Source organism: Homo sapiens, chromosome 9 (assembly GCF_000001405.40).
Source record: "Homo sapiens chromosome 9, GRCh38.p14 Primary Assembly".
NCBI classification, from domain to species: Eukaryota; Metazoa; Chordata; class Mammalia; order Primates; family Hominidae; genus Homo; species Homo sapiens.
In genome coordinates this window covers 40,956,686-40,981,489 of record NC_000009.12, presented here as the reverse complement: position 1 = coordinate 40,981,489, position 24,804 = coordinate 40,956,686, and the positions used below count along the sequence as shown (strand labels likewise).

The 24,804-nt window shown below is 37.7% G+C and overlaps 1 long non-coding RNA gene across 1 annotated transcript in view, besides 3 other annotated features; it reads left to right on the top strand.

Moving 5' to 3' along the window:
* Nucleotides 1–24,804, top strand: part of LOC107986997 (uncharacterized) — a 46,412-nt gene that overhangs the window by 10,342 nt on the left and 11,266 nt on the right. The window lies entirely within an intron of this gene.
* Nucleotides 2,537–3,205: an enhancer, noted in NCBI's record as "OCT4-NANOG hESC enhancer chr9:68712489-68713157 (GRCh37/hg19 assembly coordinates)". NCBI's record gives its function as "activates a minimal SCP1, AML or CMV promoter by ChIP-STARR-seq in naive H9 embryonic stem cells {active_cell/tissue: H9 hESC(naive)}" and the evidence as "EXISTENCE:reporter gene assay evidence [ECO:0000049][PMID:30033119]".
* Nucleotides 5,915–6,416: an enhancer, noted in NCBI's record as "H3K4me1 hESC enhancer chr9:69048303-69048804 (GRCh37/hg19 assembly coordinates)". NCBI's record gives its function as "activates a minimal SCP1, AML or CMV promoter by ChIP-STARR-seq in primed H9 embryonic stem cells {active_cell/tissue: H9 hESC(primed)}" and the evidence as "EXISTENCE:reporter gene assay evidence [ECO:0000049][PMID:30033119]".
* Nucleotides 19,705–20,206: an enhancer, noted in NCBI's record as "NANOG hESC enhancer chr9:68695497-68695998 (GRCh37/hg19 assembly coordinates)". NCBI's record gives its function as "activates a minimal SCP1, AML or CMV promoter by ChIP-STARR-seq in naive H9 embryonic stem cells {active_cell/tissue: H9 hESC(naive)}" and the evidence as "EXISTENCE:reporter gene assay evidence [ECO:0000049][PMID:30033119]".

The window sequence follows — 24,804 nt, the reverse complement described above, 5'->3', positions numbered from 1 at the left end:
TTCTTTCTTCCTCTATTTTTTTAGAGACAGGGTCTCACTCTATCACTGAGGCTGGCATACAGTGGTGCAGTCATAGCTGACTGCAGCCTCAAACTCCTGGTCTTAAGTGATCCTCCTGCCTCAGCCTCCTGAGTAAAAGTACATACCACTATACCTGGGGAATTTTTATTTTTATTTTTAGAGATGCAGTCTCATTGTGTTGCCCAGGCTAATCTTGAACTCCTGGCCTCTAGTGATTCTCCTGCCTTGGGCTACTAAACTGTGAGATTACAGATGTGAGCTACTGTGTAAAGTCTTTTGGATTTTTCTTGACTGAGAGCCTAAATCACTCCTTCAATCTAATAATTTTCATTGGTGTGTTCACATTTTCTACTTCTTCTTTCTTCAATTTTGATGGGTTATATGTGTCCAGAGCATACGTATTTCTTCTAAGTTTTTCAATTTATTGACATATAATTGTTTGTAGTACTTACTCACGATTCCTTATATTTCTCTAGAGTCTATCATAGTATATCCTTTTTCATCTCTGATTTTATGTGAATTTTCTCTTTTTTTCTTAGTCTGACAAAACATTTGTCAATTTTACCTTTTCAAAAAAGATTCCTTCATTTAATGACTCATTTGTATTTTTTGTCTTCATTTTGTATATTTGTGCTCTGATCTTTATATTCTTTAGCTAATTTGGGTCTTAGTTTGTTCTTGATTTTATAGTTCCTTGAAATACATTGTTAGATGCTTTATTCATTATCTTTCTTCTTTATTGATGTTGAAATGTATTGCTATAAACTTCCCTCTAAGAACTGTTTTGCTGTATTTCATAAGTTTTCATATGTTCTGATTTCATTTTTATTTGTCTTAAGACGTTTTAAAATTAAATTTTTTTCATTGACCCTTTGGTTGTTTAGGGATATGTTGTTTAATTTGTATGTATTTGCACAATTTCTGAAGTTCCTCCTGTTGTTTATGTCTAGCTTTATTCCATATGGTCAAAAAAACAAGTGATATGATTTGATTTTTTGATTAGCTAAGACTTGTTTTGTGCTCTAACATATCTATCATGGACAATATTCCATATGCAGGTGAAAAGACAGTGAATTATGCAATTGTTGGATGAAATGTTATGTAAATAACTGTTAAATTCTTTTGATCTAGAGTGCAGTTTAAATGTTTCTTTGTTGACATTCTCTCTCAATGATCTGTTCATTGCTGAAAATGGGATGTCGAGGTTTCTTACTATTATTGTACAGTTTTTGGTCTCTCCTTTTAGATCTATTAATGTTTGCTTTATATATTTAGGTTCTCCAATGTTGAGGGCATTATATATTTACAATTATTGTATTCTCTTGTTGTACTGACCCCTTTATTATTACATAATGGCCTTGTTTGTCTGTGTTTACAGTTTTTTATACTTGAAGTCTATTTTATTTGATATAAATATAACTACTTCTGCATTCTTTTGATTTCCATTGTCATAAAATATATTTTTCCATCTGATCACTTTCAATTTATGTGTGTATTTACAGGTGATGGGAGTCTCTTGTAGAAAGAATATAGTTAGGTCTTGTTTTTAATCCATTTACCCATTCTCTGTCTTCTTACTGGATAATTTAATCTATGTACATTCAAGGTAATTATTGATAGATAAGGACTTGTACTGCCATATACTGTTTTCTTGTTGTCTTTTAGAATTTTTGTACCTTTTTGTCCCTTTGCTGTCTTCCTTTGTAGTTAAGTGATTTTCTCTGTGTGTTTTTGTTTCTTGTTCTTTTATTTTTAGTGTATCTAATAAAAATGTTTGCCTTTTGGTTACTATGAGGCATGCGAAGAATATTTTATAGTTTCAATAGGTAATTTTGAATGGATAACAACTTAATTTTGATAATAAGAAATGGGGAAAAGCAATCACTCTGCTCTTTAACTCAATCACTCCCCCACATTTTGCATTTTTGATGTCTTAATTTACATCTTTTATATCACTTATCTCTTAACAAATTATTGTAGTTGTTATTATTTTTGTTTTGTATTTTAACCTTCTTACTAAAAACATGTAAGTGGTTTACATTCAATTATTACTATATTAGAGCATCCTGAATTTGTCTGAATATTTATTTTTACCTGCAGATTTATACCTTCCAATTTTTTGTATTACAAATTAGTGCCCTCTTCTTTCAGTTTGAAGACTGTTCTTTAACATTTCTTTGGTATGATTTGGCATAATTTTTTCCCATTATTTTAAATTCTTTGTTGAATTTCTCATAAATTTCCATATTGTTTCTCTGTACTTTGTTGAAGTGCACAGATTTTTTTTTAAAAAAAAACAGCTATTTGAATTTTTTTGTCTGCCCCATCATTCATTTGCATGTCTTTAGGTTCAGTTGCTGACACCTTGTTTTCTCCATTTGGTGAGGCGGTTTTTCCTAGGCTATTCTTATTTTTTGTAGATGTACATCTCTTTCTACACATTGATGAATTAAATATTTATTTCAATCTTCTCAGTCTGGGTTTGTTTTTGACTGTTTCTCAGTGGGCTTGTTTAGAAATTCTATGTGGATTTCCATTATATTCCATTTTAGCATTAGGAGGTGCCCAAAGCAAAGGTTAGACATAAGTCTTGCAATAGGGCTTCACCACTGATACAATGTAAATGGATGGGCCCATGGGTGATCCACAGAAAGGCTGCTGTCTGTTGGGGGAGAACAAGTCAGGCCATCAAATCTGGACAGTCTGTGTATCATGTTTCCCACAATGTGGTGCCCATAAACAACCTGTCTGGTATAATGTTTCCTCTGGTAGGAATGGCTAGCCACTGCTAAGTTTCATATAGTAAGTATCGCTAACCCAATCCCTTCTCTATGTCCCTAGCATGCCTCTGGTGGTTCAGCTCTGTTGACACTCATGGTGCTGCTTGTGGGCTGATGCAGGAGTGAGTCTACTGTGAAGGCACTCAGTATGGTGGAAAAAATATTCAACTTCTGCTCACTTTATTCAGTGTAAGAACTGTGAGTTCAGGAGGACTTTGTGCATATAATACCTTTATGTCCAGGGGGAAAAGTATCACAGTCACAGAGTACTGTTTCCCTTACTGTCCAAGCATGGTTTTACTCCTCTTTGCAGTCCAAAGGGGCTTCATAGACTCACTCATGTATTCAGGGTTCATTAGCTCTTGTAAAGGTAATTTCATATGTGGATAGTTGTTCATATAGATGTGTCCATAGGGGTATGATTACTGGAGAGATCGACTCCACTACCTTGCTCTGCCCAAATCCTTCCCCTTTCCAACAAGAGTTTGCCACCTCCTAGTTTTCTTTTTTCTTAACCAAACTAAGTTTAGCCTTTTAATCCTTCACCCTCCTCCACTTCTAATGCCATTGCTTCTCTGTATGCTTATTGTATTTTCCATGCTATATGACTTTCAGCTGGTTATTTACAGTATGTAAGTTTTAATATCCTGTAAAAGGGGGATAATAATAGCATCCGTTTGATAAAGATGTTAAAGATACTAAATGACACTGTCCATGTTAAATAACTTTTTGAGATATATTGAGATGTTTCTGCACTTCCTTGTTCTGGCCTTCCTGTAGAACCAGAGGAATCTATTGCCATGAAAAGCAATAAAACTGTGATAGTAGAAATTAAAAGTGAGTAGGAACTTATTTAAAAATCATCATTCTCCTTTTCAACGCAAAAATAAGAACTAGAAACTTTTAATAAGCCAATAGTCTGGAGAAATAATTTATGGAAGATAACATGGGTTTTTTAATCTTAAAGGGTTCTTTTACATATTCAAGGGTCGAGATTGGCTGCCTTGAATCCTACTAAAATTTCAATGTAAGTTTTAGAGAGGGAGGAAAGAGTCAAAGAAAAAATTGCACTGGAAAAAGTTAAATAAGTAAGGAAGATATTATTCAGGCTATTGCAATACAGGAGAGAGGCCAGACCTAGTCTGAACTCAGCTCCCCTGATACAAAGGGCCGTGGAGTTTTTGAAAGTGAGGGTAAGGGGGCGATCATAGGCCACCTGTCTTTGCTAACTGTCTTTTCTCAAAGGAAAAATAAACTTTCTTTTATCTTTATGATATAAGGTAATTTTTACAACTTGGAGCAAGATTAGGCTCTTACTCTCTCATGGAGACTGGGAAATAAGGTATTATCTTTCTGGAGGATTACATTTGAAAGGGATGGCTCCCAGATCCTTGAAAAAGGAAATTTTCTGCTTACAAGTTACACATGCCACTTCTACCTGCATTTCAGTGGCCAAACAGGTCACATATCTAAATCTGACCCTTCCTTCAATAGGACAGAAATGTATAATCTTCTAGGAGATAGGGTTACTGCAGTAGGAAGACCAGATAATGGGAGAATGATAATATAATCTACCACAATGACCACAGTGAAAACACTAGTAATCCTCAGGGTTAAACCAAGACTTCTTGGACACTTAGGTTGATTCTAGGCTATTGTCAATAGTGGAATAGTAAAAAATAAAGAGAATAGCCCATTTATTTTTTGCAGAGAAGCTAGACAATTCACAGTAACTTATGGCCTAGACAATTTTGTTTCTTGATCAACACAACTCTTTATAGATGCCTGTGGTCCAAAAATGCGGATTCCTAATCGTCGCCAAAATGAAGGGATCCTCTGCAAGGCAACCTGGGAGGGAGTTTAGGATTGTTCTGAAGCAGTGAAAGTCATTGAGATTCACATGTAAGAGGGTAGAGAAAGGGAATCCACATGTTTTGATCCCTCCATGTGCTGGATATAACTTGGTCTTCATTATATTGCACCACCTTTGGTGTCAGAGAGAACTGGATTTGAATCCCAGTTCCATCACTCATTATGATTTGATGGTGAATGTGTTTTTAACTCATCTGAGCCTCAGTTTGCTCATCTATAAAAGATGGGATTGTTATGAGACTTGCATAAGGTAAGTGTTTAAAAATCTGGGAATAACCCCTGTAATTTAAAAGACGGGGTTGTGATGAGGCTTCAATAAGGTAAGTGTGTAATATCTGGACACAATGTTACTAATTTTGTAGGTTTTCAATATATAGAGAAGGAGGATTATTTTTCTCTCATTTAATTTTTAGAACAAGTTTATAAAATTGGTATTATTCATATTTTTGAGATAATCAAAGGATCACTAAGTTTAAATAAATCACCATAGTAACAAAGCAGTTCACAATATATTGACTGGATAATTGCTAGTGAAAAGTAGCAATGATGATCACATTGAAAATCTTGTGTTAGGTGGTGGTTTTCTCTTGCATAAGCCTCTTCATTTGTTGAAACCATAGATTCTAAGTTTGCTCTATCAAAGTGATCATTAGAAAAATATAATGTACTTAGTGTATAAATTTTAGAAAATTTCCTTTTTAGTCCTGTTATTTTGATTGAATATGTGCATTTTGAATTATGAATATAAATATGAATATGTATGGCATAAGAAATATGACTTGACATCACAGAGTAACCTTAGATCGTGGCAATGTTTTTTTCTGAAAGCACCTGCAGAAATGTATCTTCTTTCTAGTTTCCAAAAAACTCAGAGGCCATGGGGGAAGAGGGGACTTTGGTGGTCAGATAGTGCATGAGGTACATTAGGATATAGTAATTGCATCATAATTCATATCCATAATTCACAGTGAGGAAACCTGAAATTTGCTACCAGCTACCAATAAATGAAAGGTGGGGCGGGGTCGCTGGGGGGCGCGGCTTTGTGAGCCAGTGCCTGGACTCCCACGTCACAAATGGAAGGGCAGCGCGTGGAGGGAACTCAAGGCCTGATTGGTTCTTCCTAAGCAGGACACGATCAGGTTGGCACGGCAACCGGCCTTCAGTTGGTGGCCTTCAGTGGGTGCCTTAAGTTGGTGGCATTTGGTTGCCTTTCCTGGGGAGAGGCGGCAGGTGCTCAGCTCTGCAGACGTAGGGGCAAGCGAAGGCCCAAGCTGCCTCGAGAAGAGCAGAGATGCCCCATGGGGACCACGATGACGGGTCGCATGTGCACCAAAGCCAGCCCCCAGCAGGGCCAGCGCAGGGGTTCTGCGGGGCCGTCCTGTGGCTCTGATATCTATGAGTCGTCGGCCAGCAAAGGCACAGGCACCAGCAGAAAGGAGCAGAGATGCCCAGAACATGCTGTCCCCCAATGCCAGCCCCAAGCGGGGCCAGCTTAGGGTGCGGTGGGCAGAGCCATCCTGCAGCTCTGAGATCCACGAGGAGGAGGTGGGAGTAGCGCCAGGCTCCACTGCGTTGGAGCTCGCACAATTTGAGCCCAATTTGATTCCGGAGCCATGACTTGCAGCACATTGAAGACCAGAAGACGCCCAAAGGTAGGGAGGCGACAGATACCGCTTGGCCTCAGGAGCTCCTCTGGCCGTTGCTGAACCAAGGTTCCCCCAGAGACATCCACAGCCTGGGGCTCCTCCCTTCTTCACCTAGTTCCTTTCCTAGGCCCAGGCCCCAAGCATGAGGACTGGCACTGCCTGGCGTCTCCATCCCTTGGTCTTTCCCTGTTGCATCCAGCTGGTTTCTTTTCTCCTCCCTACCCATATGCCCAGTTATGGGCCCTCTTCTTCTTCCTAGAGGCTGGCCAAAAACTAAGTTTTCAAAGTACAAAATGGATGCTACAGATTTCGTTGCTTTAGAGGAAATGTCTGACGGTTCTTGTATTTAAACTTAAGTAGCTACACTGGGACTCACAGTTTCATATCTTGAGTTCTAGACCAGAGCTATCAACCCTAAAGCAACGGCAAGGGGTTAGAGGTACTCTTCTTGATTCGAATAATAAAAAATGATTTTTTTTTTGTAGGGACAAGGTCTCACTGTGTTGCCCAAGCTGGTCTCAAACCCCTGGCCACACACTGCTGGGATGACAGGCAAGAGCCACCACACCTGGTCATTGGAGGTGCTCTTGCTTTGTGTGTTTCGGCTGGTCTTCAGGTGCAGCTGTCTGTAAGATGCTTCTGCAATATAGTTCTATGTCTTTCTGCACAGATTCAGTGGATCCTGTGTTTTTTTTACATGGAATAGCCCCTTTATTTTTTGCAGAGAAGCTAGATAATTCACAGTAACCTATGGCCTAGAAAATTTTATTTCTTGATCAACACAACTCTTTATAGATGCTTGTGGTCCAAAAATGCAGATTTCTAATCATCCCCACGAATAAGGGGGCCATTGCAAGGCAACCTGGGAGGGAGTTTAGGATTTCTCTGAGGCAGTGAAAGCTATTGAAATTCCCACATGAGGGGGCAGAAAAGGGAATCCACATATTTTGATCCCTCCATGTTCTGGCTGTAACTTGGTGCTCGTTAAATTGCACCATTTTTGGCATCAGAGAGAACCGGATTTGAATCCCAGTTCCATCCCTCATTATGATTTGATGGTGAATGTGTTTTTAACTCATCTGAGCCTCAGTTTGCCGATCTATAAAAGATGTGATTGTTACGAGGCTTCCATAACGTACATGGGTAAATACCATGGCAAAATGCTTGTAATTTAAAAGAGAGCATTGTTAGGAGACTTGTATCCGGTAAGTATATAAAAACCTGGACACAATGCCTATAATTTTGTAAGTGTTCAATATATGGAGAAGGAGGATTATTTTTCTTTCATTTAATTTTTAGAGCAACTTTATAAAATTTGTGATACTCATATATTTGAGATAATCAAACCAAGGATCAGAAAGACTAAACAAATCACCATAGTCACAAAGCAGTTCACAATACATTTACTGGATAATTTCTAGTTAAAAGTAGCAATGATGATCACATTGAAAATCTTGTATTATCTGGTGGTTTTCTCTTACATAAGCTTCTTGGAATTTAGTAAGATAAGTTGCAGCTCAAAAAGCAGATCTGTAGAATATTTTATTCCAGAGATTGTAGTGGGGGCCAAAGTATTGCATGAGTTTTGTTGGGAACAAGGTATAGGCTGAGAATCTAAGCATACTTCAGTTGGTGGTTTTCAGTTGGTGGGCAGTGGAAGAAGGAGGAGGAGCTCCGTCTGTGCTCTCTCTTCCCCCAGTCACAGCCCTCAGGCTTGTTGCATCCAGGCCCTTCTAAGTTAAAACAGACAGGTTGACAGGTTTATTTATAATTTAGCAGACAAGTCAGCTCAGGGTAGGCAGGTGAGGTGGGGTGTGGGCTGCTAGTACAGTGCCGCCCTTTGACCCAGGGCTACCCATGCCCATGGGGCTATGCCATATATTATATATATAGTATTTTATATATATGTATATAAGCCTGTTGGTTTGTTAAAACCATGGATTGCTCTATCAACGTGATCTATCAACATGATCAACGTTGCTCTGTCAAAGTGATCATTAGAAAAATGTGATGTACTTAGTGTGTAAATTTTAGAACATTTCTTCTGTTAGTCTGTTAATACTCAATTCTTTTCTAAAACACCTAGCCCAAATCTCCACAGGTTTTAATCGAATTATATTATAATTTGGATTTTCTGGTCTGCCTATCTTCCAAATAATAAAGTTCTTAAAATTAATTTTCTATTGCTGCCATAACAAATTTCCACAACTTTGTGGCTTAAATCAAAGACTTACGACCCTATAGTTCTGTAGGGCAAACCTCTGACTGTGGTCTTACTGGGCTTAAGTCAAGGTGTTGTCAGGGCTGTATTGCTTTCTGGAGGCTCTAGAGAGAATCCATTTCCTTTTCCAACTTTTAGATGCTGTCCCTATTCCTTGGATCATGGGACCATCCCTCCATCTTCAAAGCTAGTAATGTGGGATGTCTGTGGCCATTGTTCTGTAGCCATATCACCTTCTGACTGTAGCTAGGAAAGATTATCTGATTTTATAGACACATGCAATTAGATTGGCTCCCAAGATAATCAAGGATAATCCCCCTAACTCAAGGGTTAATCACATCTCCAAAGTCCCTTTTGCCCCATGTAAAGTAATATGGTCACAGATTCCAGTGACTAGAACATCTTTATGGGGTCATTATTTTGACTGTCACAAAGGCAAAGTCTTGGACTTATGCATATCTAGATTTTCTTTGCTTAATTTCAGAGCCTAGAACACATTAGACTCTAAATAAATGTGAGTGAGTGATAAATATTATATTTACAGATTGCTGCCACATTGCAATTCTGTCCTCCCACTGGTGGTGGAATCCTATGTACTTTTTACCATCTCCGTTTTGCATTCAGACTGAACATGGCTGTGTTACTCCTTTCACCTGGGTGATTTCAAACCATCTCTCTATTTCTATTTGTAGAGATCTTATCTATCAAGCCCTTCTCAAATGCCACTTCAAAAAACTTTTTCTAATCCCCAATTGTCTTAGTCAATTTATGCTCTTACAACAAAATAACACAGACTAGGCAATTTATGAAAACCAGACATTTATCTGTCATAGTTCTGGAGACTAGGAAGTCCAAGATCAAGGCATTGGCAGGTCTGATGTCTGGTAAGGGCTGTTCTCTCCGTTCAAGATGGTGTTTTGATGCTGCATCTTCCAGAGACAGGGAACACTGTGTCCTCACATGGTGGAAGGCGGGAGGGCAAGAGGGATGAACTCCCTCCATGGAGCCCTTTCATGAGGGCTCCTAAACCCATTCCTGAGGTAGGAGTCCTGATGGCCTAATCACTTCCTGTAGGCTCCACCTCTATCAACACTATCACATTGTCAACGCTGAATCTTGGAGGAGGCACAGTGAAACCACAGCACCAATCAAGTATGATCTTTCTCTCCTCAGAAACCCCCTCATATGTTTATACCTCCCATGCACTTTTATACATTTTGTCTCATGGTTTCTTCCTGTACAAATAAGGTGCTATAAATGGATAGCTATAGTTTCGGGTTTCATTTCAACAAAACACCCTTCCTAGTTTTTTGAACCCCAAGCGAAATATGAGGACAGGCCCCACCTTCCATTACAAAAGCTGAAAGGAGTGCATGATCCTTTTTCCAGTTTCTTGGCCACTCATGTGTGGGCACATATCTAGGCCCAGCCAACTGATGTCTCTTTATTAGAACTTGGAACCCGATGAAATGATGCAAAAGACCTGAAAGAATCAGAGATGATTCTGAGACATTGAGCAGAGATGCAGGTCCAGGAATGTGGCAGCAAGGGCCTAGGTTCAGCAGAGCCCAGCTACATGGTGACAAGTGTCAAATGGCAACATCCTAGTGGTGGCATCCCAAGATCTGCTTCCATCGAATGAACTTGGCTGTGCTGAGTTTCCCTCAGTTCTTACCTTGCTTCTCCAGCATCTTCAGTGATTTTGTGAACTATTCAATATCCTTTCATCGAATTCCTATTTTGCTTAAGTTGTCTAGAATTTGTTATTTTCAGTGAAAAATATAAACCAGTTATCCCCTCACATTAAAACACACTCCACTTAGGCATCTCCTGTGATCTCACTGGAGAAAAGTGTGGACGTTATTTGTAATTTGACTCAGAATGATAGGATTAGTTTGGTACTAGTAACAATGGAGATAAGTAACTAACTTTTTGTGAAACTTCTTCCTGGGGTGAAACAAAATCTATTGTGGAAACTCTTTCCAATCATCTCTGGAAATTTATTAAGTGACCTAGTATATAATGATAATTTACCATGATACTTGATAAAATAGTTTTGTGTGTTCAGAATAATTTCTTTTTTCTTTACCTTTGAAAACAATGCATCGATAGTTAATTTTCTCCTAAATTGTCTGTTTTTATTTCCATAAAAGGTATTTATTGAATATCTCCTTTTAATATAACTAGGCATTGTGTGATCAAAGTAAAATAAATATGTTCTTGTTTCTGGAATTACTAAAGCTTTGAAAATGGACTTATCGACCTCAAACCAATGGGACATATTCCCATGTGGCCTGCTCCCCTGTTAGGGTTCCCAGGGTAAGTGGCGATTCCTTTTCTGTCTTTTTAAAGATTTTAGAAATGCAGCTTCTGCTGTGGGCCACTAGGCGGAGTACTTCAGAGCAGGGTTTGTGGGAGTACAAAGCTAACTTCTGCTGCTTTTGCTTGATGCTTCTGAAGCTTCCTTGACTACTGTGGATGATAAGTAACTATTTTCTTCCACTTCTTTCTTTTTTCCCCTCACTCTTTGAAGTGAACTTGAAACATTTAGGAAGTTTGTTGATCAACATATACCGTGTTTATGAAAATCCGGCTAAGATAATATGGCAGGACTCCTTTGGTTATAAATAATAGAATTCAAACTCAAACTGGTCTAAGCCAAAAAAAAAATATTAATTTGTGGACTCGTATAATGGAAAAATCCAGGGTGTAGCTTCAGAATGGCTGAATGTAGGGACTCAGGACTTGGCTCCTCTCAGCTTCCTTGCTTTTTTCTTCCCCATTGATTTTATTCTCAGACAAGTTTTCCCTTTGTGCTGCAATGTGGCCATCATCACTCCTCCAGTTTACATTTCCTTAGTTCCACAGCCCCAGAATAAAGCAAAAACAGAAACACTTCTAATAGTTTCAATAAGAGACTAGAGATTGACTTTGGGTGTGAGGCTTGGATTTCATGTCCATTTCTAGTTTCATCTGTGCCAGGATTAGAATTATATTCATTGGCCAGGCCTGTGTCACGAGGTCATACAGGGTTTCCACTGTCCACACAGTGCCTTTGCAAGTATTAGAAAATGGCTCCCCTTTCTCCAGTTAGATGCAGCCCTGTATCAGGGCATGTGGCTTGGAGAAGAGCATGCAGGCTGGATTTCAACCCCCCTTTCTCCCTTAGCTGGGTTTCTTCCTTGAGTGAACAACATACTTGTTAGTAGCTGTCCTGTGCTTATTCCTGAAACTGGGGGTGAAATCAGCCACCACGCCAAAACTGAAGGATAGAAGATGGCTTCATCTAGGGTATCAGATAATGGCTAATAACAAAGGGAGGGGACAGTGGGTGCTGTGTGGGCAAAAGGAGCAAAAAATAATCCTAATCTGTCTAGACTTCATCTCAGAAGCCATATACAACCTTCTTCAATGGAAATATTTAACACTTCAGGAGTGCCAAGAAGGCTATGAGGAGCATATCTCTTAAGGACTTAAGTTAGGGCATTCTAGAATGTATGCTTTATGGATTTACCTTATAAATATATAACTGACTAATACACACAGAAAATATATTGCAGAGTAACATAGATGACAGAACTTGAAATACATGACATTCTACTGCAGTCTATCATTATTTTCTAACTTATCAAAAGACTCAGAGGATCTTTTTTTTCGTATTGTTAAATTTTTAACTAGAGCCCTATTTACTTGTGTCTTGAAAAACAGTATTTGCAAATATGTCTGAAGAGGAAACAGAAAGAAAATGATTCCAAAAAAGCTGATAACATTAAGACATCTGTTTATAGAAGATGTAAATTTGCAACCATTAAAAGCTTATAGGATCTACACAGAATGTGAAGAAAAATAAATGAAACCAAACCGCTACAAGAAATAACCAAACTAAGAAGACAGCAAGAGAGGGAAAAAAAAAAGAACTGCAAAACATATGAAAAACAATTAACCAAACGCAAGTTACTCCTTACCTATCAACAATGACTTTAAATGTGAAAGGATTAAACTATCTAATTAAAAGACATAGAGTGGCACAATGCATAAAAGATACTCATCAGTACATATTTATAAGGGAGTCACTTTAGATATAAAGATACATAGAGGCTCAAAGTGAAGGGATGGGAAAAGATACTGTACGCAAATGGTAAACAAAAAAGAGCAAGGGTATCTATATTTAGATCAGAAAAAATAGACTTGAAATAAAAAACTGTCACTAGAGACTAAGAATGTCATTATATAATGATAAAAGTTCAATCCAATGGGAAGATTGAAAATATATATCCACCCAACATTAGAACACCTAAATATATAAAGTTAATATCAACAAAGCTAAGGGGAGAAATCAGTAACACTAAAATAATAGTAGCCAACTTCAGTACCCCAAATTCAATAATGGATAGAACATCTAGGAGGGAATAAAAAAAGCGGAAACAGCTGACTTGAACAACACAGTAGATTAAACACTGACAGATACACAACTTTCCATCCAACAGCAGCAGAATATACATTCTTCTCAAGTGCACACAGAATCTTCTCTGAGATAGATCAAATCTTAGGTCACAAGGCATACTACAAATTTAAGAAGTTTGATATAATGCCAAGTATCTTCTCATTCCACAATGGAATAAAATTAGAAGTCAATAACAAAGAAAACAGAAACATTTACAAAAATGCAGAAACTAAATAACACATGCTTAAACAACCATTGGGTAAAAGAAGAAATCAAAAGGGAATTTTAAAAATATCTTGAGACAAACAAAAATGAACATACAACTCAACAAAACTTACAGGATTCAATAAAAGAAGTGCTAAGAGGGAAATGTTACAGTGATAAATACCTACATTAAAAAATAAGAAAGATCTAACTCGAACAACCTAACTTTACAAATAAACAATTAGAAAAAGAGAAACTAACTAAACCCAAAGTTAGCATAATGAAGTAAATAATAAAGATGAGAATATAAATAAAATAACTATAAAATAGAAAACAATAGAAAAATCAACAAAGTTAGAGTTGAATTTTTGGAAATACAAACAAAAATAACAGACCCTTAGCTACACTAAGAAAAAAAGAGAAACTCAAGTAAATATAATCAGAAATGAAAATGGAGACATTATAGGAAATGTACAGGAATACAAATGATTATAAAGGACAATTAAGCGATTATATGCCAATAAATTGGATAACCTAGAATAAATGGATAAATTCTTAGAAAGATGCAATCTACCAAAATGGAACAAAAAAGAAATAGAACAGACCAAAAGCAAGCAAAGAGATTTAATCAGTAATCAATAATTTCCCAACAAAGAAAAGCCCAGGTGCAGATGCTTTCATGGGCAACTTCTACCAAACATTCAAAGAAGAACTAACACCAAAACTTCTTAAACTCTTCAGAAAAAATAGAAGAGAGAATACTCTCAAACTCATTTCATGAGGCCGATGTTACCATGACTTAAAAGCTAGACGAAGACAACACAAGAAAAAATAATTACAGACCAGTATCCTTAACGAATATAGATGCAAAAATTCTCAGTAAAATACTAACTAGCAAACTGAATTCAAAAGCACATTGAAAAGGTCATACACCATGACCAATTGTAACTTATCTATGTGATACAAGGATGTTTCAATGTGTAAAAATTAATAATGTGATATACCACATTAACAGAATGAAAGATAAAAATAACATTCCAATGGATGCAGAAAACACATTTGACAAAATTCATTATACTTTCATGATAAAACTCTCAACAAAATAAGTATACAAGAAACTTACTTCAACACTGTAAAGGCTGTATATGAAAAACCTATATCTAATATTATAATCAATGGGGAAAAACTGAAAGCTTTTTCTTAATATCTGGAACAAGACAAGGATGTCTACTCTCATCACTCCTATTCAACATAGTACTGGAAATCCTAGCCAGAGCAATCAGGCAAGAGAAATAAAAGGCATCAAAATTGAAAGGAAAGATGTAGTTACCTCTGTTAACAGAAAACATGATTATTATACATTGAAAACTGTAAAGACTCCACAGAAAATGGTTACAAATAATATAGTCAGTCTTTCATATCTGCTGGGGATTTGTTTCAGGACCCCCTCAGATAACAAAATCTGTGATGATCAACTCCCTCACATAAAATCATGTACAGTTGGCCCTATGTATCCATGGGTACACATCTGTGGATTCAAACCACCACAGATGGAAAATGTGTACAAATTTTGTTCATAGTTGATTGAGTTCATGGTTGCAGAACACATGGATATGAAGGACTGACTATATAATAAATTTACTAAAGTTGTAGGATACACAATCGACATACAAAAATCATTGCTATTTCTAAACACTAACAATGAATTGTCTGAAAGGGAAATTTAAAAAACAGTATCAAATAAACTACTTTGGAACTAACTAACCAAACAAGTGAAAGACTTAAACACTACAAATTATAAAAGATTGATGACAGAAATTTAAGCCAAAGTAAATTGAAAGACAACCCATGGATTGAAAGAGTACTGTATTATTAAAGTGTCCATATTACTCAAAGCAATCTACACATTTAATATAATCCATATCAAAATCCCAATGGTATCTCTCACAGAAATAGAAAAAAAAAATCCTAAAATTCATATAGAATCACAAAAATCCCTGAGTGGCAGAAGCAATTTTGAGCAAGAACAAAGCTACAGGTATCACACTTCCTGACTTCAAATTAAATTATAAAGCTGTAGAAAGAAAAAACACTATGGTACTAGCATAAAAACAGACACATAAACCAGTGAAACAAAATAGAGAACCTAGGCATAACCCACACATTTGCAGCAATTGATCACCCTGGAAGGTGACAAGGAGACACTATAGGGAGAGGATATGCTCTTGACCAAATGGTGTTAGGAAAGCTGGATGTCTACATGTAAAAGAATGAAATCGGATCCCTAGCTCACGCCTTATGTAAAAATTAACTCAAAATGGATTAAACGTTTAAATGTAATCACTGAAACCATAAAACTCCTGGAAGAAGACAAGAGAAAACATTCTTGATATTGGTCTTGGCAATAATTTGTTTAGATATGATGCCAAAAGCACAGGCAACAAAGGCAAAATAGATAAATGAATTACATCGAACTAAAAAGCTTCTGCACAGCAAAGAAAACAACTAATGAAATGATAACGCAACCTATGAAATGGGGAAAATGTTTTAAACCATATCTCTTATAAGGAGTTCAAAAAGTAAGAAGGACACATACACATCAATTCCAAAATTATGAATAACCTAATTTTATTTTAAGGCAAAGAACCTAAATAAATACATCTCAAAAGAAGAAACTCAAATGGCTAACAGGTATATGAAAATGTTCGCAACATCTCTAAACTTCAGAGTAATGCAAATCAAAACCACAATGAGATATCATGTCACACCTGTTAAAATGGCTATTATCAAAAAGAGAAAAGATAAGTGTTGGTAAGAATGTGGAGAAAAGAAAACCATTATACACTATTGACGGGAATGCAAATTAGTAAAACACAGAAAACAGTATTGAGGTTCCTCCAAAGAAAATTGAAAATAGCACTGGCCTGGTGTGGTGTCTCACACCTGTATTCCCAGGATTTGGGGAAGTCAAGGCAGGAGGCCAGGAGCTCCAGACCAGCCTGGGTAACATAGCAAGACCCCATCTCTGAAAAAAAATTAAAATTAACCAGACATGGTGTTGTATACCTGTAGTCCCAGCTACTCAGGAGGCTGAGGTAGGAGGATCGCTTGAGCCCAGGAGTTCAAGGCTGCAGTGAGCTATGTTCTTGCCACTGGACTTTACCCTGGATGACAGAGTGAGACCCGGTTTCAAAAATAAAAACAAAGAACTACTACATAATCCAACAATTTCACTTCTGGATGTATGTCCAGTGAAATTGACATAAGAGTCTTAGAGAGGTGTCTGTCATCCCCTGTTCATTGCAGCATGACACACAATGACCAAAATATGAAAATAACCTAAGTGTCCTTTGGCAGAGGAACAGATGAATGGGTAAAGAAAATGTGACGTGTATACATAAAATGAAATATTATACAACCTTAAAAAAGAAGGAAATCCTTCTATTTGTGAAAACATGGATGGAGCTGGAAGATATTGCGCCAAGCAAAAATGCAAGGCACAGAGACAACTACTTCATGATCACACTTACATGAGGAATCTACAACAGTCAAATTCATAAAAACAGAGAATAGGACAGTGGTTGCCAGGGGCTCAGGGAGGGGAAACGGGGTGATGTTAATTAAATTGTGCAATGTTCAAGTTATAATAATTTCTGGAGATATAATGTACAACATGGAACAACACTGTATCATATTCTTGTGTTCTGCTAAAGGACTAGATCATAAATTAATTACTGTCAACACACACAATGGTAAATATGTAGAGATAATATGCTAATTTGCTTGATTGTGGTGATCATTTCAAAAAGTATAGAAATATCAAAACATTAAGTTACCTTAAATTTATACAATTTGTATATGTCATGTTATCATCATAAAGCTTTGTTAAGAAAGATTTAGTGAATCATGTCTACCACCTGGGAACTTTCTCATGACAGGGAGGGCTGGAGTAGGAAAATGGAATTTTGCAACAAGTATAGGGTGAGGGACATGGGAAATGATTGATCAAGTATTTAAGAAATGACCTGGGTGGAAGCTACATCAAAGGGTATGAGCTTTAGAGCATCAGTCCTCAAACTTTTTGGTTTCAGGAACACTTTACATTTTTAAAAGTTATTGAGGACCCCAAAGAGCATTTATTTATTTGGATTCTATCTATCTATATTTATCATGTTAAACATTAAAACTGAGAAATTAAAACAAATAAAATAATATATGTTTACAAATAAATCACATTTTTATTTAAAATTATCATTTTTAAGCAGTAAAGTTGGTGAGAACAGTGACGTTGTTTTATATTTTTAGGTATGTCTTTAAAGTCTGGTTTAATAGAAGAAAACTTGGTTCTCCTTTCTGCTTCTATGTTTAATTTCTTGTGACATCCCATGTCAGGTAGCCTCTGGGAAAGTCCAATTATACTTGTGAGAGAATAAAAGTGGAAAAGGTAAACAAAAACCTGTGTATTTTTATGAAAAGACTTTTGACCTTGCAGAGCCCCTGGAAGGGACTCAGGGACTTCTCAGGGTTCTCTGGCTCATGTGTTCACAGAGTAGAGGTTAAGTCCGCAAGAGAAAGCAGTGATTGGCTGTGGGAGGTCTTGCTGAGAGGTGGTAGAGAAGAGGTTGGATGTGTAGAAAGTATGGTCGTTCTTTTCATTTCTTTTCCCTTTCCTTTGGCCTCTTGTTGCTGGGATCTCCTCTTTAGATGATCGTATCATAAATTAGAAATAGCATTAATGAACATTCTTGATACTGCCTAATGAAAGTTTTTGTTTTGTCTTCCTGAGTCTTGATACATTTCAAGAAGTCTTCTATCTCATTTATTTTTCCCACCGAAATTTGGAATTTAGGAAGAGTCGATATAGCTATATTTAGATGATTTATCTCCCTGAAGACATTTTGGGATCATTTATACATCTCTATAAACAATGCTCTGATGTTCCTTTATTTTGTTTAGAGACTGGGTCTTGCCGTGTTGTCTGGAGCGGAGTGGCTCGATCGTAGCTCATAATACACAATACAATCAAACTCCTGTGCTCAAAGTGATCCTTCCACTCAGCCTCCACAGTAGCTAGGTCTGCAGGTGTGTGCCAGCACGTCTAGCTTTTGATTACTATTATTATTTTTGTAGAAATGAGGGTTTCATTATGCTGTCCAGGCTGGTCTTCCAACTCCTGGCCTCAAGCGATCCTCCTGCCTTCTGCCGTCTGAGGAGCTGAGATTACAGGTGTAAGCCACCGTGCTGGTCCTGATGTCATTTAAATACAAACATGATACTGTATTCCTTGTAGAAAGTGCTACATAAATATAATTTTTTTGAAATAGGGTCTTGCTGTGTCACCCAAGCTGGAAGGCAGTGGTATGATCACACTCACTGCAGCCTTGACCTGCTGGGCTTAAGTGATCCTCCCATCTCAGCCTTCCAAGTAGCTGGGACCTGAGGTATGAGCCAGGAAGCCCAGAGAATTTTTCAATTTTTGGTAAAGATCGGCGTGTCACTGTGTTGCCCAGGCTGGTCTTGAACTCTTGGGCTCAAGTTACCCTCCGCCCAGGTCTCCCAAAGTGCTGGGATTACAGGCCTGAACCACTGCACCGGGTCCTAAAAATTTATTCACTTTATTTGTTTGTCCACAAGGTGCTGCTGTTTCCCTTCTAATAACATGAGACCGCTCACTCAAGAACACCAAGAACACGACATTCTCTAAAAAAAATCATAGTAGTTACTTTTCCATAACTATTAAGTTTTCAAGATGTTATCAGGTTTATCTCATAGAAAGAATGTGTAAAATTTTTCATGTAGAAACATAATCTTTTAGCAATGAGTTAGTTAAAAAATTTGGCATTGTCAGAATGATTTCATTTTCCCTATAATTTTATTTATTATAGTTATATTTTTAGTGATATCAATTACTTTATAAAAACTCATTGCATTATATACCCAATGACTGTGAAATCGTCTGCTTTGAAGCACAGTGAAGTCATCAATCAGCATACTGGGTCTAACACGGTCCCTTTCATTTTAAGAAAGCTATTTACACTCCAATTTGCAAGTTGGATTTTACAAAAATTAAAACATTTAGAAAATATACTAACTATGATTGTTTTAAAAAGTAATGGTTTTTTATGTTAGGGAAATAAATTGAAGCTCTGTTTTGGAAAGTGCAGAAAACAAATCAGCATCTTTATAAATAGATTTTACTGCTGGTTTAGAAATTACCTTATGTGCTTTGTAGATGATGGAAAATGAAATCAGCTGCAGTTAGCAGTGTGCATGCATCGTACTTGCTGTGTCACTTTCAGAAAGATTATGGAACATTGGCAGGTCAGGATTCTCAAAATGATAAGTTCTAAGAAGAGGCTAAATGAAAAAGAATTTTAAAAGCAAGGCTAATTGTTTAATATATACATGGACGAGTTATGGGGAAATCCTGGACTGGGAGCTAGCAGATCTATGTTCTGACTTTTACTAAGTCATTGGCTGCTACAGCAGGACAAGCAAACATAACTGCCAAGGCTGCCTGGGAGTTGGGTTGATTGGCAATTGGCACAGGGAGAAAGGACAATTGACAGAATAATGGCCAAATAGGGTTTCATGTTCAGTGAAGCAGGACGTGCATTTGTATCCCAAGGGCAAAACTGACGCTAGAATCTGGGCCTCCTGGCTGAATCTGAGTCCACAGTCTGATGAGTAGGATGAAGTAGTCTCAGAAATCCAAGCCAGCCAGAACCCATGAGGTGTGCTCTGCAGATATTGGCTGGCGAGCTGCATTAAGACGTTTCATTCCATTGAGCAAATATTCCTTGATTGGTTAGGTTAGCATCCCACAAGAGCAAAGACAAATTCTTCAGAATTTGTCCATGAAGCTATAGTTCCAGAGCTTATATTTCAAGGGAGGAGGGAGGAAACAGCATCTCAGGATGGTAGGTGATTACAGCTAAACCGAATTCTGAAAATAAAAGGAACCCTATGTCTTTGTCTGCTCAGGCTGCTTCTACAAACAACTGTAGACTGAGTGGCTTAAACAGCACATACTGTTTCTCACAGTTGTGGGAATTCAAAGATTAAAATCTGGGCCAGCAGAACCAGTGTCTGGTGAAGGCCCTCTTACTGGTTTGCAGGTGTTCTTGTTGTATGTTCACATGGCTGAGAGAAGAGGGCTCTAGTCTCCTACTCTTCTTATTAGGATGCTAACCCCATTGTGGGAACTCCATCCTCATCAAAACCAAATTACTTCCCAAAGGTCCTCCTTCTAATGCCATTCTATTGTTAGAGTTTCAACATGTGCATTTGTTGATGCAAACATGCAGTGCACAGCATCTTATCTAATCAAGTCAGTTGTCCCTTGAATAAAATTTTAGCTCCTATAACAAGACTTCAAATTATGACTTGGTTGTTGCCAAAACTATCTATCTGGATTTGCTAGAAATCAAACATACTTGAATATTTCCTCTAAAGATTTTCTCATTCCTACCCTATTGTGTATATTTACAGAATTCTTAAATAATTACATACTCAAGGCTTCTATTAGCTCTGACGAGAGCTTCTATTAGCTTTGACTATTGCAAGCAGCTTTATAGCACTGTAGGTAAAAGCATGTGCTTTGAAATCATACAATAAATTTATTGAATGCTAAGCACTTTATATTCACTATTTAATTTTATCATCTTAATAACCTTCATTATTACCTCCATTAAACCCTATTTGTTGGCTAATTATATTATTCTGATTTTGCAAATCTAAATTTGAGAGGCTTTCCCAATGTCACATAAGTTAATAAGTGGCATAGCTGGGGTTTGAATTAAAGTCTACCTGATTCCAAGATCTATTTACCATTGTTCTACAGTATGTACTTTTTAGGTCCCTGAGAATGCTAACAGCCTTTCTTTTGAAATCTGCCTTATTTCTGGATAGCAGCTTTATTAATATGTGATTATGGCACCATATTTCAGGCAACAAAATTCTTTGAAATCTTTCATTTCCATAGTGAGATAAGGATCAGTTCTGTGGCATTGTCAGCCAGAAAACATCATTTGGAGACTATCTTGTACAAGAAGTAGAAGACACAGCTGGGGTCCTGCGGAGGACAGAAAGTTCACATCCATACCCCTTTCACTTCCTCCTCAAGGAGATGGACCTCTGTGGTTGGTCAAGCTTAAGGATCGTTTATGGGCCACAGCTAATGGTGAAATCTTCCTAACTCTAGGTGAAGATTAATGGGCAAGTTGGAGAGTTAAGGTAGCTTATGGCTGCTCCTTTTAGAAAAAGTCTGATCATTGCTCTCTTATTTGTGAAACCCCTCTGTTCCCCCAAATGCTTGGTAAGACATTCCTGAAGACCAATCCTGTGTCAGTAGACTTCATATCTACTCTCTTCTACCAATCATACAACTACAGACAAATAAGAAAAATAAAGCAAAGCTTAGACACACTCCCCTGGCACGGAGGTCACTCTCTGGCTGGCTGCTTTTCTCTACCATGGCGCCTCCTGGGCATTTGGCTCTTTCTTAGATCAAACAGAGACATGGGTTTGGGATTAAAGAGAAGTAGGTGAAAGGGGTCTCTGGCCTGTTTTGGCATTAGACCAAGTAAATAACAGAGTTCTGGCTTAAGCTCAGCTCTGTAGAGCTTTCTCTGTGTTTGGGGAAAATCTCCCATAGTAATGAAGAGGTATTTTACTGTGCTTTGTTTTCTGTACATATATCTCTTTCTTAGGTATGTTGTGAGGAGATTCATTCCCTGGACAAATGCCATCTTAATCACCTTCATTATTACCAATTTTATTTTATTTGCAGAATAAAAATTTAAATAGACATTCAGGAAACAAGTCTGGTGAGAGAATTATGTTATGAGGTTAATCTTTCAGCATCTGCCTTAGGGACATTGATTATTTTCCCCCTTGTTTTTCACCAAGCTCCAGGCTTGCTAAAGAATTGTGATGTGGTCTGAGGCAAACTTACTGATTGGCTAGTGGTAAGTTAAACCATAACCTGTAGAACCACTGGGAACCATTGCTTGTCACCGGCCAGAAATCCACTGTTTGGAGGTGTGCGCTGGGAAGGCTGTTCATACTTATTGATACATGCTTTGTTCTTGGCACTATGTTAAGTACTGGACACATGCAACAATTTGGAATATCGTTACATTCAACCCTCACAATAGTCTGATGTATATGTTATTAGTCCCGTATTAGAGACGAGTAAACAATATTAGAGGAAGAGAAGTACACAGCTGGAACCACACAGGCGGCACTGGGACTGGAAGCAGTTCCTTCTCACCCTGGACCACCATTTCTATGCTGTGTCTCCACTAGAGGATCCTTTCTTTGGTTCTTCTGAGTCATTAGTCATCAATAATTTATCTCCAAACTGTAGGTTTCACAGGAGGAGATGCCACTTGAAGGTTCATGGCTTAAAATGGAGATGGAATGTGGAACATGGTGGGAAGCACCAGGAGGGGTTTATTGATAAATTTCAAGTACTTTGTGGGGCTCTGAAAGACTGTCTTCAAATTCTTTGTCCTACTACCTCTTTCATATTCAAATGTCATATGGGTATATCTTTTGGGTTAAATTAAGGAAAATCTCCATGAAAAGTAAAAAACAAACAAACAAAAAAAACCCCAAAAGAATAGAAAGAGGTACTACGAAAAATCAACTCAGATTTCTCAGAGTTTTATTAACTCAAAGAAGCCTTGGTCCAGTTGGAAGAAGACAGAATTGATTTTGACAATCTCTAGCAAACGCTTTAGTGTTCAATGCACTCTAGACCATGAGTATAAAGAAGTTCACTTAATAGGTTCACCAAATTAGTTAGTTTGTGTAGTTCAAAGGGAAACAGACACACAGGACTGTGAGGTTTTGACAGCTGCGAAAGGCAAGTCTGGGTCCAGTGAGCCCAGGCAGGCCATGAAGGGGCAGGGCAGGAGAAGGACGGTGCTGGGAGGCTAGGGAACTGGCCACCTCTGTGCTGGCTGAAGATCACAAAAATCAACACAGCTTTCTGCAAATGCTGCCTGTGCCTGATGGAATTAAACAGAGCTCTGAGAAAGACAGCACCAGGGCCGAGGATGGGTCTTGAGCTGCCTACAGTCATCAATATCTTGGCCATTGGCTATGCACTCAGAGGCAATTTGACTAGCTTTCTTGATCCACACCAGAAAACTCGCTTTTGAAGTGGTTTGGAAAGCTCCAAAAGGGAAGTGCTTCATGCTATTGGTATTGCTGCCAAAAAGAAAAGATTCTGCTTTTCATCAGCTGCTGATTTTTGCTCTCTGTATTCCTCTAGCATCTGTTGCTGGTGGCCCTGGTTATGCTAACAAGTAGATAGTGTAGCTGCAGCAGCAGAACAGAAAAGACTCTCCTGGATTCTCAGTTCCAGGCTGGCCTAGGAGCAGGCTTAGGGATGTTTCAATGTTTGAATGCAGGTGAGCTGGAGATCTGTGGCAATTCTTTTGACATGAGGTTGGGCATTCTTTATAGCTTCCCCAGACACAGGAATTGGCAGGGCTTGAAAAAGAATCACTGGCAGGAGGTTCATTTTCTTCATTGCTACCTCTCCAGCCATAAAATTAAAAGCTTTTTACCTAAATCACGTTAGCCATCTCGTGGGAGTAGGAGATCATTTCCTTCAGAGTCTTTCCCGATTGGAGCCTAGTCCTAGGATGGTTTGAACGGTCCTTTTGAATTTGAAGAGCTTTCTAATTGATGCTTCTCATCCCCTCTCCGACCAGTCTTATTTGGTGTCATCTGCCTTTCCCCTTCCTCCCTACAAAACCTCAGAGTCTTGAAACAAAAATCTTTGTATTGTAAACTTCATCCTGCTAATTTCATCAATTCAAACGAACCTTCCCTTGTTTGAGTTTCCTCCAACTGTGTGACTTAGGGCTGTTGAACTCTTTCAAATACACAGGAAAATGGAAACCTCTTTTTGTGTCTAGTGATTGTATAATAAAACATTTTCAGATGCTAATCACATGCTTTGTGCTTTGTTAATGAATTCCAAGGATATTCTTATTTGAAAGGTTTAAAAATATAATAACTGTCATTATATCTAATTCTGTCTACATTTCTGGTGTGAAATGAGAAGTCAGTAGCCCTGCCATCTACACAGTGCATGGTTCTACCAGCTATTTCTGTGTCACTTCAAGCAAATCACTTCTTTTCTGCCTTTTCTTTCTTTTTATGTAAAATGTGGATAACTATCTGTCTCACTGAATTCATAGAGTGACTGTATTATGTACAACAAAATTTATTGAAAAGCGTAAAGCTCTATAATTAGGTAGAATGTTACCTGTGATTTATAAGCTTTTTAAATCCTGGGGCCAGTGGAGGAAGTATTCCTCTTACTGTAAAAGGACATTCCTCTTACTGTAAAAGGACATCCCTCTAATAATCTCCCTTCTTTTCCTGACTTTTCAGGGATTCTGTTCATTGCTTTTCCATTTGTCATCTGCATCTTCATTCTCTCTCCTTCTTGATGCATTTGGTCAGCATTTAAATATAAATTTTTCATTTAAAAAATCTTCTATCTTGGAGGAACCTTGATTTTGACTCTGTGTGTCTTTCTAGCTATCAAGCCATCTCCTCCTTTCTTGGCAAATTTTTCTCAAGGATTTTCCA